The following is a 16,509-nucleotide window of genomic DNA, read 5'->3' as shown; positions in this document are numbered from 1 at the left end:
TGTAATGTCTCTTTTTTCATTTATAACTGTATTTACTTGTATCTTCTTTGTTTCTTAGTCTGTCTAAAGCTTTGTAAATTTTGTTTAACTTTTTAATAAAGCAACTTATTGTTTCATTGGCCTTTTGTATTTTTTAATTCAATTTCATTTATTTCTGCTCTGTTCTCCATTATTTATTTTCTTCTACTAATTTTGTGTTTGGTTTGCTCTTGCTTTTCCATTCTTTATGATTTATCATTAGATTGCATATTTGAAGTTTTTCCTCTTTTTTTGATGGAGGCTCCTATAGCTATAAACTTCCCTCTTACTACTGCTTTTGCTATATCCCATAGGTTTTTGTATTTTGTGCTTCCATTATCATTTGTTTCAAGAAGTTTTTAAATTTCCTTCTGAATTTCTTCATTGACACACTGGTCATTCAGGAGCATATTCTTTAATTTCCATGTATTTTTATACTTTCAAAAAGTCCTCATTATTAATTTCTAGTTTTGTTGCATTGTGGTCAGAGAGGATGCTTGATATTAATTTTTTAAATATTTTAACATTTGCTTTGTAACATAGTATATAATATATCCTTGAAAATGATCCATGTGCTGAGGAAAAGAATGTGTATTCTGCAGCCATTGGATGAAATGTTCTATAAACATCTACCAGATCCATTAGATCTATAGTGCAGATTACATCTGAAGTTTCTTTGTTGATTTTCTGTCTGAAACATTTGTCCAATGCTGAAAGTTGGGTGTTGAAGTCTCCAGCTATTATTGTGATGGGACCTCTCTCTTCAGCTCTAATAATATTTCCATTATGTATCTGGGTTCTCCCATGTTGGGTGCATATATATTTAAATTATTATATCCTCCTGCTGAATTTACACATTTGTCATTATATATTAACCTTCTTTGTCTTTTCTTATAGTTTTTGTTTTGAAATCTATTTTGTTTGACATAAGTATAGTGACTCCTGTTTTTTTTTTTTTTTTGGTTTCAGTTGGCATGGAATATTGTTTTCAGTCTATGTGAGTCTTTATAGATGAAGTATGTTTCTTGTAGGCAACAGATCAATGGGTCTTATTTTTGTTATCCATTCAGCCAGTCTATGTCTTTTGATTGGAGAGTTTAGTCCATTTATATTCAATGTTATTATTCATAAGTTAGGACTTACTACTACCATTTTGTTGTTTTCTGGTTGTTCTGTGGTCTTCTCTTCCTTCTTTCTATCCTTCCTGTCTTCCTTCAGTGAGGGTGATTTTCTCTGGTGATATGATTTAGTTTTTTGCTTTTTTATCCTTGACCATTGGGAGTTTCAGTATTAAATGCCTTGAGGTATTAAATGCCTGTGCTATTATTTGGACGCAGCAAGTCTCAGAGGCTTACCAAAGCCCTTGATGTAGTACCTTCTTTAGGGAAATCTTTTGTGTTCTATAACTTTCCTGCGGTTAGATATTGATATTTTTCTCTAGGTTTAGGAAGTTCCTATTATCCCTTTGCATAAACTTTCTACACCTATCTCTTTCTCTATCTCCTTTTTAAGGACAATAACTCTTGATTTTCATTTTGAGGCTATTTTCTAGATCCTGTAGGCATGCTTCATTTTTTTTATTCTTTTTTTCTCCTCTGTGTATTTTCAAGTAGCTTGTCTTCAAGCTGACTATTTCTTCTGCTTGAACAATTCTGCTATTAAAGGACTCTAATGCATTCTTCAATATGCCTGCTGCATTTTTCAGCTCCAGAATTTCTACTTGATTCGTTGTAATTATTTCAATCTCTGTTAGATTGATCTGATAGAATTATGAATTCCAACTCTGTGTCATCTTGATTTTTTTTAGTTTCCTCAACACAACTATTTTGAATTCTCTGTCTGAAAGTTCACATATTTCTATTTCTCTAGGATTGGTCTCTGGGGTCTTATTTAGTTCATTTGGTGAGGTCATGCTTTCCCGGATGGTGTTAATGCTAGTAGATGTTCTTCAGTGTCTGGGTATTAAAGAGTTAGGTATTAATTGCATTCTTCACTGTTTGGGCTTATTTGTATCCATCCTACTTAGGAAGGCTTTCCAGATATTTGAAAAACCTTGGGTATTGTGATCTAAGTTGTATTTGCTTTAGAGGGACCCAAAGCCCAGTAATGTTGAGGTTCTTGCAGACTCATAGAGGTAATGCCTTGATAGTCTTGGACAAGTTCGGGGAAAATTATCTGTATTACCAGGCAGAGACTCTTGTTCTCTTCCCTTACTTTCTCCCAAACACAGTCTCACTCTATTTTCTGACCGCATAAAGCTGGGAGAAGAGTGACACAAGCACTCCTGTGGCCATCAGCAGTATGGCTGTGCTGTTTTAGACCTCAAGCCACCACAGCACAGAGTCTCACCTAAGGCCTGTTGTAACCTCTCCCTGGCTACTGCCTATGCTCGCTCAAGGCTTTAGGGCTCTACAATCAGCAGGAGGCAAAGCCAGTCAGGCCTGCATCCTTCCCTTCAGGGAAGCAAGGTCCCCCTTGCCCCAGGTGGGTCCAGAGGTGCTGTCTAGGAGTCAGAGACTAGAGGTCTAAAACCTTAGAAGTCTACCTGGTGTTCTATGGTACTGTGGCTGATCTGGCACTCAGACCACAAGATTCAGTTCTTCCCCCTCTTCCCTCCCATTTCCAAAGGCAGAGGAGCCTCACCCTGTAGCCACCACCACCCCAGACCACAAGGAGTACTGCTAGACTACAACAATGTTCCCCTGAGGCTGAGGTGCTCTTAAGTTAGCTTGTGGTGAATGCTGCCTGGCCTGCAATCACATTTCAGGACAGTGACCCACAGCAGGTCCAGAAATGGCATGCAAGAGTAAGGTCCTGGATTGGCAGACCCTACGACCCCACTTCATGCTTTACCCCCATGGCTGTGCTATTATTTGGACCCAGCAAAGTATCAGAGGCTTATCAAAGCCCTTGACGTAGTACCTGGGTATCACTGTGGATTATTCAGGGCCCAAGGGCTCTTTAGTTAGCCATTGATGAATGCTGCCAGGACTGGGTCCTTTCATGAAAGCCAGTGTGTTCTCATCTGGCCCAGAGTTTGTCTATTATAGAAACACCGTTTGGGAGATAAGACATGGAACAAAGTCCTCACAACTCTAACAGTTGCCCTATCTTGCTGTGGCTGAGCTAGTATCCAAGTCCTCCTTACTCTTTCCTTTCCTCTCGTCAATCAGAATAAAGAGGTCTCTTTTGGAGCCACAAGCTGTGCAGGCTGGGGTTAGGGGAGGGAAGATGACAGCACTCCTTTGGCCACCCCAGCTGGTGTATCTGTATGTCACATTCCTCCCCACCTGACACCAGTCCACTGTCTCTTGGCCCAGTTCAGCGCTAGGACTCTCCTAAGAGTTGCAGTCCTTATGGCCTAGAGTTTCATAAGTTTTTTCAAGTTTACTGGGAGACACAGAGCACTTTGGTCCTCACTGGTGAGGTTTGCAGGCACTCAAGTTTGTACCGCTGGAATCGGTGATTCCTTTCTGGCTAGGGCTGGTTTAAATTGTCCCTCTGTGGGTGGGTGTCAGTTGAATTAGGTCTTGTTTTCCTTTCTGCTCTAACAGGTCAGGACTGAGTTCACTGCCTCAAAATTGCTATGTTCTCTCTCCTCCAGCTCCCAGAGAAGCTCTCGACACCATGTCAAGGCTGCTGAGGGTGGTGGAGGTTTGTTGGTGTTGTTTATTCAGGACTATTTTTTTCTATCACTTCAGTGACTCTTTCAGCAATATGAAGTTAAAACCAAGTACTACAACTGTTCACCTGATTTTCGGTTCTCATGAAGATTGTGTGTGTGTGTGTGTGTGTGTGTGTGTGTGTGTGTATGTGTATAGATAGTTGTTAACTTGGTGTCCTTGCAGGGTTGGGGAGACAATTGGTGGAGCCTTCTATTCTGCCATTTTGCTCCCCTCCCACACCTCTAGATTGTTTTATATGGCATGGGTTTTCAAACATTTTGGTAGTACCCATTATACGAAGTAATTTTTTACATATATGTATTTTAACAAAAACCAGTAAATAGTTTTGGTGTTTACTGAACACTATATTTTAATTAGTTTAAAATAAGTAATATCAGATTATAAACAAGTTTTAAAAACAAAGCTTCTTCTGACTTTTCAATTATTTGATTAAATGGAAATATAATTTAAATTCCTATGAGAGTGCCAGCCATACACTTTAACAGAATCCTGAAGCCCTTGCACGGGCATGCACTATGCAGAGTGAGAGACCACAGTTCAAATCCTGCCACTGCCACTTACTCCCTGTGTGACCTTGTGCAAACCCCTGAATTTTCCTGAGCCTCAGTTTCCTCATCTACAAGCCTGGGAAAATGATTGGACTTAAGTCATGGGAATATTTTGAGATAAATTGTAGATGCATTTCCAAAGATGGCCTTAACAATATCTCCCACCCCACATACTTATCTACAATATGATTGTGAATCCTTCCCCATCAAGACAGAGTGCCTAATTCCTCTCATGTTGGATTTGGGCGACCTTATAATTTGTTTGTAACCAATATACTGTGGCAGAAGTGAGAAATGTGTGACTTCCAAGACTATGTCAGAGTAGACCAGATAGTGTCTGTCTGGCCTGATTCTTCTGAAATGTTCTCTGTGGAGAAAGCCTGCTGCCACAAAAGACAGCAGGCTGCTCTTAGATAGCCATACTGGAGAGGCTTCATATAGATGTTCCAAAAACAGCTCCACCTGAGCTTGCAGCCCACAGTCAAGACTGAATTCCAGCCACTTAAGTGAGCCATGTTGGCTTCTCAGCAAAGTTGAACCTCCTCATAACTACAACTACAAGCAACATTAGTAGCAACATCTGATACAAGCACATTAGAGATTCCAAGTGATATCCATCTGGCCAAGCCTTACTCAAACTTCTGATCCACAAAATCAAAAGTGAGAGAAAATTATTGGTTTGTGCCATTATATTATGGGGTCATTTACTATGCAGTAATAATACCAGACGATAAACTGAGATAGTTATGTATATGGTGATTTAAATGTTATTAGCATATTGTTAGTTGGGCAGTGAATGCTACTCGTGAACTCTTAATCATTTATTCCATGGGGAGGAAGGTCTTCCAACATACCACAGTTGGACTTTTCAAGTCCCTTACTTTTTCTCCCATGGGAAGTGAAGAGATATCTGATAGGTAACTATGGGGGCACAAAAAATTAAATACACTTCCTAACCACTCCTTTTTTTCTTTTCAGAAAGGACCACCCCAAAGAGAACATGGGTTCACCATTGTCCCCCTCAGTCAAGGTTATCTTAGCATGTCTTCTCACACAGGGGAGGGCTGTAAGTCTCATGCTACTTGGGACTGTGTTGAGTATGTTTATCTAATTATTGAGCTCAGTATAAGAGCATTCACTCATCTATACATTTAAGTCACATGGTATTTTATCCCCATTTTTTTTGTCTTATCTGGTGATTGAGAACTTAGACAAAAAAAAAAAAAAGAATATTGTTAATTGAGACCCTCCTCTCTGAAAAATCTAAAATGATGAACATATTTGCTAAATACATTGCCATGTTGTTAGATGAAATTATTAGTTTTTACTACACGACATTTATGATATTTCACTATTTTTGATCTATATATTTTAGTTTCATCAAAACTTGACTGATACATGCATAATGGAAATTTTAGTTTAGTTTTGTTTTATAGTTCCCAAGCCCCCATCAGGTGTCAACTAATTGGTTAAGATCATTTTTCTGTTGGAAATATTAGCTGTTAATTTTCATCCTTACTTGAAGTTGTTTCCCAAAATATGGCTTGAAGACTAACAATATGACACCAACTGATGAGTTTATTTAATATGCATTCCTATGCCCTGGGCTGCATATACTAAATCAACTTCAAGAAGTGGGAATCTAGAATCTGCATTTTCATAGTCTTCCCACGTGATTCTTATGGAAAGTACAATCCCATGCTACTTTCCATGATAGGAATAATATGATCTCATTAAAGTTCAATCAAACCTTAGTTATACTTTACAGAGGCAACAAGATAAACTATGCTTCAAGCGTGACTTGACCATTCTCATATGTAATTTCATTTCTAAGCTGTATTATGTGAGGCCATACTGTAAATTTGTAATATGACAAAGTAAAATGTGTAAATTTGTACTGTAAATTTGTAATATGGCAAGGTAAAAAGTAAAGTTTATTGGATATTTATAATATGATAAACATTGATATGCATTTGTAATGTGCTCATCTTCCTTATAACAAGAGGGTAAATATCAACATTTTAAAGATGAAAAAATTCATATTAAAAACTCATATTAAAAAGAGTTCAAATAACACTGGTAATGTTATTTGGACTCTTTGAACTCAATTTTATCATGCTGAGGCATCATAAATGGCAGAGCTGAGATTCAAAACTAGATAAACTTTACTTCAAAGTTCAGCTCAACCATTTGATTTGTGAATTATGCTATTCAGGAAACTAGAAATATTAGGGGAAAAGAAGTGTACTGGAGTATAGAAAAATAAGTCAAGGATCTTAAAATATATTTGGAGAAATATAATAGAAATACAATAGACTTAATTTCTTTATTGACTGGATTAAACTTGTGCAGAAAAGCATATTTGAGTTTCTATAATTGTTTATTGCAAAGAAACCAAGTCAGATTTTCTTAAAACAAGATGTGTTTTTTAATATACTCCTTAGGAAACAAAAGCTTTAAGATTATTTTTCACAGTTACTACAGAATAAGTATCTGTGTGTAGTTTGGGGTGGCCTGAGGCATAGATCCAAGAATAAAATATAACAGCTTTCTTGTTACTTGATGACATTTATTAATGAAATAACTGAGTATAATTTATCTTTCATTCTCTGCATAATATATAAGGTAACATTCATTAAATGCAGAGTAAAAACTATCTTTGAGAAGATAACTTTTAAGAATTTTGCAGTAAGCTGAAAAATAATTAGAAAACAGCATTAGAAATATGAAGGTATGATAAAGTCTAAGGGCATGAAAGTAAATACTTTTGAGTGATCTAATCTAAATAAACATGCAAAATTGAAACAAAAACAATCCTCTATGGTTTCAGATACGATTGTATTTTTTTAATTTCACATAAATTTAATTCTTTTCAGATTTGGCAACTGTGTCATAGTAACATACATTATTTTTTGTTAAGAATATACTAAAGCAAACTATAACTTTTATCTGGGTTGCAGAAGATTATGACTGTCATTCACATTTTATAAATTTGATTTTCAACTTGAATATATAAAATAAGTATATCAAAATAGTACAATTATCAAATAATCTCTTAAAATGCCATTATGAGGAGAAAATGAAACAAAAAAGGGTAACATATATGATAACACAGTCTTTCAAAAGGAAAGTAATAAATTGACCAGAGAAGTTACTTTTTTGGTGAATTTATGGGTTTAGCATGTTGTTAAATATAACATGATGGGATGGACTGATTGATGTAAAGTGTACTATGGACAAACATTTATTCTTCTCTTTTTTACTATCAATGTTAATAAATCAAAGTTATATTGAGGTGTATGAATACTTTAGAAATTGGACTCTTTACCTAAATAAAGTTAATAATGAAAAAAGTTTAAAGGAGGTTTCTCTTTAACACTGAGTAGAGAAAAGCAATGTAATAGCCTAATGTTATAATCTTCACTTATGTGAAATTGCCAGTTCTATCATTTCAATATTTCACCATCTTTTCCTTTCTCTTTTGTTTGTATTTGAAGTTCATATGAAAAGTTGTGAAATATAATAGTAATTAAAATCCATTAGTATAGTGAAACATATAGTAATGTTTCATTAATTTCTAAGTAAGTTGAATGCATTCTGGTTAAAGGTCATCACAATGCAGTAATTTGTTTGTACCTATTTCTCTACATTAGATTCTAAATTATATGAAAGCAGAACCTACACTTCTACTGCAGAAAGACAATTTCTAAAGGGTAAAGCATTGGATGACAGTCAGACTTTTTTGAATTTAAATTACTCTTTTGCTTTAGTTTCAATAAAGCTTTATTTACCAAAACAGGCTGGAAGCCAAATTTGCCCTATGGACTGTAGTTTGTTGACACCTGTCTAAGTAGAAAATACATTAAATTAATTTGAAGTAAATCTTCTTCGCCAATCCCAACGCTCATCACTCACCACAGTGTTTTCTAAATATACAATCATTTCTTTAAGAAACTGAAATTGCTGAGGTTTAAAGTTAAATGTACTGGTTTGTAAATCTTTATTCCTGTTTTTAAAATGGCAATATTATTTGTCCTAGCACTTTTCTCATGGTCAGTGAATTTGCAAAGGCCAGATACTCACACAGCAGGGGTTAAAACTGCAATAACATACTTTATAGATTCAACGTATAACAAAAGTCTAGTTAAGCAATGCTAGTAATACCAATAGCCTAAACGTTTGTGACTTAATAAAGAACATCTTTAAATATTTCATATTGACATTTCCCCTCCCACGAAAGTGGTAAAGCCGACATTGTGTTAGTTACCTTTTTAAAAATCAAACCATTTATTTGATCCTACAAGTTACTAGGTAAATTGGAGACTAATTTGTGATTTAATGATATTGAAAATACTGAAATTGCATGGTAATGGAAACCATTACATATTGAGATGTGGTTACCTTATCGCCTTCAGTGAACGTGAAGCCATCCACAGCTCTTTTCCAAGTGATTTCTGGAATAGGCTCCCCTTCCGCATCACATACGAGTGTGACTTGACCATTCTCATATGTAGTTTCATTTTTAAGCTGTATTATGTGAGGCTGTACTGTAAAGAATATATATATTACTCAACCGGTATTGGAGGAAAATATTACTTCTCAGACAAAAGTCATGATGGGTGTTTAAGTCTACTATAGTATAGTATGATATTATTAGCTTTGTAGAATTACAGTGGCCTGCTTTGCCTTACAGACGTACCAGGACAGTTGAATAGCACAGGAAAAAAAATTTAGGAAATAAAACTCATCTGTTACCATTATACAAAATAACTTGAGGTGACTTAGAAACCAACATCCAAATTATAATTTGTTTCAAAATTCTGCCAATTTAAAAGTCATCTCATGATTTATTTTCCTATCTTAAAGCCACAAAATCAAAATTTCTTCCTTTAAAGGCACATGCATATGGGTGCATATGTGTGCACATATATGTATATATACACATACACACACATGAATATATTTATACAGACACATGCACACACAATTGGTTTAATTCTCTCTTAAGCTTTAACAATTTCACCAAAGAAGTAAATGATATATCCTGAAAATGTAGCAAGTAGAATCATATAAAATTTTGAAACATTTACTAAGTAAATATATTTACTTTACTTATATATATTATTCCACTTGATTTATTTTGACTTCAGTTTACTTAACAATATACTAGACAACGTAACTAATTTTTAATCATCAATTGTATAAAAAGAAAAGCATTATGTCTACTAATTTTAATTATCTTAATATTAAAATATGTCCCTCCATAAACTTACATAGTTCCAGAGAGCTTTATTTTTTGAAATCTGTGTTATTTGTATTTCCTAAATGTTTGCTTGTTTAGATATAAAATGGATACAATCAAGTACTCATTATTTCAGTGTGAGTTACTTTTTATATATTTTAATACATTTAACAAAGAAACACAAATAAGTTGTTCTTAAGCTCAGAAAATAACATTCTTGGTATCAGAAAAACAGCATACAGAATTTTTAACAATTCACTCTTTATTTCATTAACTTTAATAGATTTAGTTATATTCCCACAATATGCATACAATTTTGTGTCAGGAGCAACAAAAGTTTGTTGAATGTTACTACACAAAAGGGATTATAACAATAACATAACATGTAAAATTTTCATGTATTATGTTCTACTTGAAAGGATGAAAATATCAGAAATGTAAAAAATCTTTTTTCTTTTTCACTGCAATCCTGATAAAAACGATGTAAATACTATTTCAGATGAGTACACTGAGGCAGATTAAGACCATCTATCCTTTGGAATAATCTCACACAATACTATTTCTAATATGATTATTTTTATACTGAATCATACTTATTTAATTTTGTAGGTTTTATAGAAAAAATATTTTCAAGTGGGGAACACTGCTAGAACAAGTTAGGGACTTTCTATAATTTCTAAAAATGTTAAGTATATTTACTTTTCCCTGTAAGTGAACAATCTTCTCCAGGCTCTTAGCTTGGCCTACTTCTGATCATTAGAAGATCATCATTCTGAACATCACCTAAACATTATCCTGCTGAATAACTTTCCAAACACTATGCTATCCAAAACAATACTTCTCTTTATTCAATGCTTCCTGATTTATCCAATTTCTTTCTCAAAACATCTCTACTTTTAAAATTGTATTTTTTATTTTAATACATTTTGGTATAGCTGTTTATTCTCCTTGTCACTCCACTTGAAAATAAGCTTTATAAATATCTCTCTAGCTCAGAAAATGCTTCCAGCAGTGACTACAGGGCCAGTCTGCAGAGGGCGTGTCCACGCAGGGATTACCATTCATCTCATGGTCAGTGTAAGGGGCACTCTGCACCTGTCAACTGCAAACACTGGTCCTTCTTTTTTTTTTTATTATACTTTTTTAGGGTACATGTGCACAACGTGCAGGTTAGTTACATATGTATACATGTGCCATGTTGGTGTGCTGCACCCAGTTACTCATCATTTAACATTAGGTATATCTCCAAATGCTATCCCTCCCCACTCCCCCCACCCCACAACAGGCCCCAGTCCTTCTTATTCTAACAGATTTCTCCTTCCTTCCTTTTCCCTCTTTTTGTTGTGAAAGCATTTCAATAACAGTGTTTTTAAAGTTGGAGAAAACATATTAAATGTTAATAGGGCATATATTTTTTAGTGTTACACTAATTAAAGGGAAAAATTCTATTAGAAGCACCCACTGCCATCACTGTCTTTCTTCTTGTAAACATAATTGAAGCTACGTCATTATATTTCTGTAAAGTACTAGTTTTATATGCTCTATAAGTTACCCAAATAAGATAATATGGCTCTTGGTAAATATGGAAGATATTTATCTTATATTTTCATTTAGTTAAATGAAAGCAAATATTTAAGTATAGTTACATGTCAATGTTTTTAAATTGTAGCCTTAAAAATGTGCCCTTTTGAACTATATTGTAAGTAAAACTGATCCTAACATGTGTCATTTAGAGACTTACAGAGATCCACCCTTACAGACACAGATGACAAACCCCACTAGGTGTAATTTAAATTATTTTTTTCCAGCTTCTGTAAGCATATCAATGACTTACAAAAATTTGCATATGTAATTTTACGTTATTCTTCAAAAAATTCTATCTGGTAGCTGAAATTTAAAAAACATATTACAGAGAAGAGGAAACAGATTTAATATGGAAAGTTTAAATAGTTCAAATGATTAGAGTAGAATTTCACTCTGATCTTCCAATAGACATAACAGTTTTAGCCACTATGCTATAATACTTACCAAAGACTTGGAGGAAAGCTTGCTTTTCATCTTCTCCTGCCTTATTTGTGGCCCTGCAGACATAAGGACCACCATCACTATTGATTATGTTCCTGACAGTGAGTTCTGTATTGCTCCCTTTCAATATGTACTTCTCATTTTCTTCAATGAGCTTGCCATTCCTAAAGAAGAAAAAAGAGGTTCATCCTCACAGATCTGGCTTTATAATTTAGTAGATTTTAATCAACTTTTTAATCTATAGGCATTGATGACTATATGGCTATCATCATTGAAAGACAGGGCTATATTCCAATCAAAAGTATATTTTTAGTAGCCTCAGAACTTAACGAATAAACAATAAAATTATACTTGAAATTTTTTTTGAATGTAAACACAAGAATAACATTTGAACTATGTCAAAATCTTAATAGTTACCAGGCAAAAAGTATATCAGTTCAATTTGTACTTTGATTATTGGCAAAAAAAACATTTTGTTTGCTGTTTTTAATCCCATACACAATTAAATGTTGGTGAGACAATACATATTTATTATATATATTTATTTACTCCCCTCTTGGGACACATTTAAAATAATTTATGTAGAAAATTTCTTCACAGAAGCTTCAAAGTAAATACAATGTAAATATATCATAAATGTATATTGCATATAAGTACTGCCAATAAAATAGTAAGATGAGAGAATTACATGAAAACACAATTAATTTAGAAACTATTTTGAATGTGATAATTTTATTCTTTAATGAGGAAAATAAATTGTTTTTCTGTTTCCTCTTAGTCCCAAATAATTATCAATATTTTTAAGGTTTTTTTTCTCTACTGAAATACATCTCACTCTGCTCCATTCTAGTCTAAGTTGTCCTTTAAAACCAACCACGGCTTTCAAACATTTTTTACTATAATCTACAGTAAGAAATATTTTCAATATATTAAAATCTGAACTATTTCTATGATTTCCCTCGGTATTTGTGAAATCGTTTTATATTGTGTATTCTCCTTTCATTTTATTCATCTTTTTTCCTCTTTTCTCTTCTTTGCATCCCCTCCTGTATTTTTCTTATAATAGTATTTTGCATGACTGAATTGATTTTAAAACCACTAATGGAAAGTTCTGGAATTTGTCCATTGGTATGGAGACATTTGCTTGTCCATACAATTGTAAATTTAAAAAAATCTCTATAAATATTATTAAAACTATTTTCTAAAATAAAATCAAACATTTCTCTGATACACTAAGCAGTTCCTTCCAGTGAATTCTGGTTCTACTTTCCAGAAACCACTAACACATATATGAACATAATCTTTATATGTCTATACTCAATAGAATTTATTGTTCCAGTTTCTCATGACATCTCTAAATGTACCATGAAGTACACAACATTTCTTAAGAGGAGTGGAAGATTGCAAAATTAGGATTCATAAAATAATAACAAATGGGTCGGGTGTGGTGGGTCATGCCTGTAATCCCAGCACCTTGGGAGGCAGAGGCCGGTGGATCACTTGAGGTTAGGAGTTTGAGACCAGCCTGGCCAACATAGTGAAACTCCATCTCTACTAAAAATACAAAGACTAGCCTGGCGTGGTAGCAGGCGCCTGTAATCCCAGCTACTCCGAAGGGATGCTGAGGCAGGTTGCAGGGAGCTGAGATCACACCACTACACTCCAGCCTCGGCCACAGAGTGAGACTGTGTCCGAAAAAAAAAATAATAATAAATGCATATATAGTATCTTTTATATATATTTTTGATATTATTACTAATGCAATCTTTACAACAGGTATAAAAATGACATTTCAGAGTTTTTATCTAGAATTTAATATGTAGATAGGGTTTTCATCATAATTAGGGATACAATATATTTCTCAATATCTTCAATGAAAATTATTCATTTGTTTCCTAATAATAATAATAATAGCACGGTAGAGGTTTCAGCACTCACAATTAGCCCATAAATGTGCATTTTCCCTCTGCTTACTCATTCAAAATCAGAGAACTACAGTATGTGTATATCTCTACTCCTCAATTCACAAATAAAAAGACAGGCTCACCCATTAATAAAAGCAGCAGGTTAATTAAGTTCCAATGTTCTTTCTAAAAAAGAGGGTTATCTCCTTACTTCATATAAAACATTGTGCTAAATGTTTGATGTATAGCAAATTAGTTGCCACCCATCATGAGGAACCCATAATTTGGTTGGCATTAATAGAGGTTAATGCAGATTCCATTAGTGGACTTACAACTTTTTTGAGCAGGAGGTGATCTGTTATAACGGGAGATATGACAAGGAAGATGGCTGTACTACTCTGGGAATTTTCATGAGAAAATAAAAATCCTTGATTTGGCCTTTGAAGTAGAGGGGCAAAACTTGAACATATTTAGAGAACATAAGTGTGTACAGATTACATTCACTTTAAATGCTCAATAGGAAATATAATTAAGCCATCATAAATAAGGGAATATTACCAATGCTTTATTACTCCCTCCCAATAAATACCTTATTACTCCCTCCCAATAAAGTCAGGTAGAAATGCTCCTATTGCTATTCACAATCCATGTCTATGAAATGTCAACGTCTAAAAAATCACTCCAAGGCATTCTGACACATGCATTAAGCCCATTCTTTGAAACTCAAACCACTTCTCTAAGCGTCCCCTTTTTCAGGTACAAGAATGTAGGGGTCAGGATTACAGAATTAATGTAAACACTAAAGAATTGAATGATAATTTCATTTTGAACAATATTGTATTAACATAAACTATATGCTCCCAATTTAAACAACAAAAACACTGGCTATACATATAAAACAATAGTTTTCACACATTAGCCAACTGGTTGCATATGACAGTGGCATATGAGTACCTCCATCGCTGACTGCCTGAAGAGAGTTTTCAGGCTGCAGCTGGGGGAGGCAGAGAACACGAACAGAGTCAGGCAATGTATCTGGGTTGGAAGACAGAGTGTGCAGTTGGGGGAGGTCAAAGCGACAGAAGGTGCAGGTTAGATAATGTGAGAGAAGACAGCTGCACAGACAACAGAGCTATAGATATCTGCAGAGGGTTCCCAACAAATCTTTAACTGAGTATTGATCAATGAGTGTACACCAGTAAGGCCTTCTCAGATGAGGGAAAGAACCATTAGAAAATATAAAGTACAATAATTCCAGAAGCTCACACAGCACCAGGAATAATCTGCAATTCAACCATCCAGAGTAAAAAGATATCCTAAAACACAGGACTTAAGTCATGTCCTTAGAATAATATTGCATCAGTAATGGAACCAGATTAACCCTAGACTGAAGGTGGTTTGGATCCACCTAAAAGAGCCTAAATGGAAGCTCTCCCTCAAATAAAACTTTTTCCAAGTCACTTAACTGCATCTATAAAACAAAGTAAAATAATACAAAAATATTCAGCACCCCAAAACACAAAATTCTGAATGTCTGGAACCCAATTAAAAATTCCTGGCTGGGCATGGTGGCTCACACCTGTAATCCTATCACTTTGGGAGGCCGAGGCGGGCAGGGCAGATCACAAGGTCAGGAGTTACAGATCAGCCTGGCCAATATGGTGAAACCCGGTTTCTACAAAAAGTACAAAATAATTAGCTGGGCGTGGTGGTGGGCGCCTGTAGTCGCAGCTACTTGGGAGGTTGAAGCAAGAGAATCACTTGAATCTGGGAGGTGGAGGTTGCAGTGAGCCAAGATCACACCACAGCACTCCAGCCTGGACGACAGGGCTAGACTTTGTCTCAAAATAAATAAATAAATAAAAATTCCCAGGATACGGCCAGGTGTGGTGGCTCACACCTGCAATCCCAGCACTTTGGGATGCCAAGGCAGATGGATCACCAGAGGTCAGGAGTTCAAGACCAGCCTGGCCAACATACCAAAACCCCATCTCTACTAAAAATACAAAAACTAACCATGTGGTGGCACGTGCCTGTGTTCCCAGGTACTCGAAGGCTGAGGCAGGAGAATTGCCTGAACCAGGGAGGTAGAGGTTGCAGTGGGCCAAGATCGCACCACTGCACTCTCCAGCCTGGGCGACGGAGTGAGATTCTCTCTCTCACTCTCTCTCTCTCTCTCTCTCTCTATATATATATGTATATAGAGTATATATATATATGTATATAGAGTATATATATATATATATAGAGAGAGAGAGTATAGAGTATATATACTAACCAGGATAGTAAATAAACATGAAAATACAACCCAGAGGAAGGAGAAAAATCACCAGGCACAGTGGCTCACTCCTGTATCCCCAGCACTTTGGGAGGCCAAGGCAGGAGGATTTCTTGAAGCCAGGATTTGAAGTTCAACCCTGGCAACACACTGAAACCACTTCTCTAAATAGTAATTAAAAAGTTAATTGGGCATTGTGGCGCATGTCTATAGTCCCAGCTACTGGGGATGCTGAATCAGGAAGATCACTTGAGCCCGAGAGTTGGAGGTTGCAGTGAGTGCCACTGCACTCCTGCCCAGGTGGCAGAGCGAGAATCTGTCTCCAAAAAATAAATAAAACAAGAGGGAGAAAAATCAGTCAGTTACAAAATATAGGTATGATACAGAGGGTAGGTGAGTAGATGCCTATTAAAACAACTATTAGAAATATATTCCAATATTTTCAAGGAAGTAAAACATGAGAATGGTAAGAGAGGCATGGAGGACATACAAAACATCTCCTTGAAACTCTCAGAGAAGAAAAATAAAATTATGAGAAATACTCTGATGGGATTAAAAACATTAGATATTACAGTAGAAAATATTAGTAAACTTGAAGACATAGTGACGTAACTTAGTTCACTTGAAGACATGGTAAAATGAAAAACAGAAAAAGACTGAAACAAAGTTCTATATGGTATCATTTTTTTCCATCCTTAAAGCCCTTAAATAATAATTTTCATAGTACTGATCTACGTGAATAAATGTTTAAACATATAATACTAGAGCTTCAAAAAATATGAAGCAAAACAGAGAGAACTGAATATAA

The 16,509-nt window shown here is 35.0% G+C and overlaps 1 protein-coding gene across 17 annotated transcripts in view, besides 1 other annotated feature; it reads right to left on the bottom strand.

The window, feature by feature from the left end:
* NCAM2 (neural cell adhesion molecule 2) overlaps window positions 1–16,509 on the bottom strand; it is a 544,921-nt gene that overhangs the window by 196,142 nt on the left and 332,270 nt on the right. For all 17 annotated transcript variants that reach the window (NM_001352592.2, NM_001352591.2, NM_004540.5 and 14 more), the window contains 2 exons: window positions 11,523–11,683; window positions 8,654–8,799 (listed from right to left, as the gene is read on the bottom strand). In NM_001352592.2, the coding sequence (NP_001339521.1) occupies window positions 8,654–8,799; window positions 11,523–11,683 (307 nt within the window). The remainder of the gene's footprint in view (window positions 1–8,653; window positions 8,800–11,522; window positions 11,684–16,509) is intronic.
* Window positions 14,325–14,619: a silencer, noted in NCBI's record as "tiled region #4883; HepG2 Repressive non-DNase unmatched - State 24:Quies, and K562 Repressive DNase matched - State 8:EnhW". NCBI's record gives its function as "represses a minimal TATA promoter and a strong SV40 promoter by Sharpr-MPRA in HepG2 and K562 cells {active_cell/tissue: HepG2 | K562}" and the evidence as "EXISTENCE:reporter gene assay evidence [ECO:0000049][PMID:27701403]".

This window comes from Homo sapiens, chromosome 21, assembly GCF_000001405.40.
Source record: "Homo sapiens chromosome 21, GRCh38.p14 Primary Assembly".
In the NCBI taxonomy this organism is placed as follows: domain Eukaryota; kingdom Metazoa; phylum Chordata; class Mammalia; order Primates; family Hominidae; genus Homo; species Homo sapiens.
Note: the sequence above shows the minus strand (reverse complement) of the source record. Positions and strands in the feature narration are given on the sequence as shown.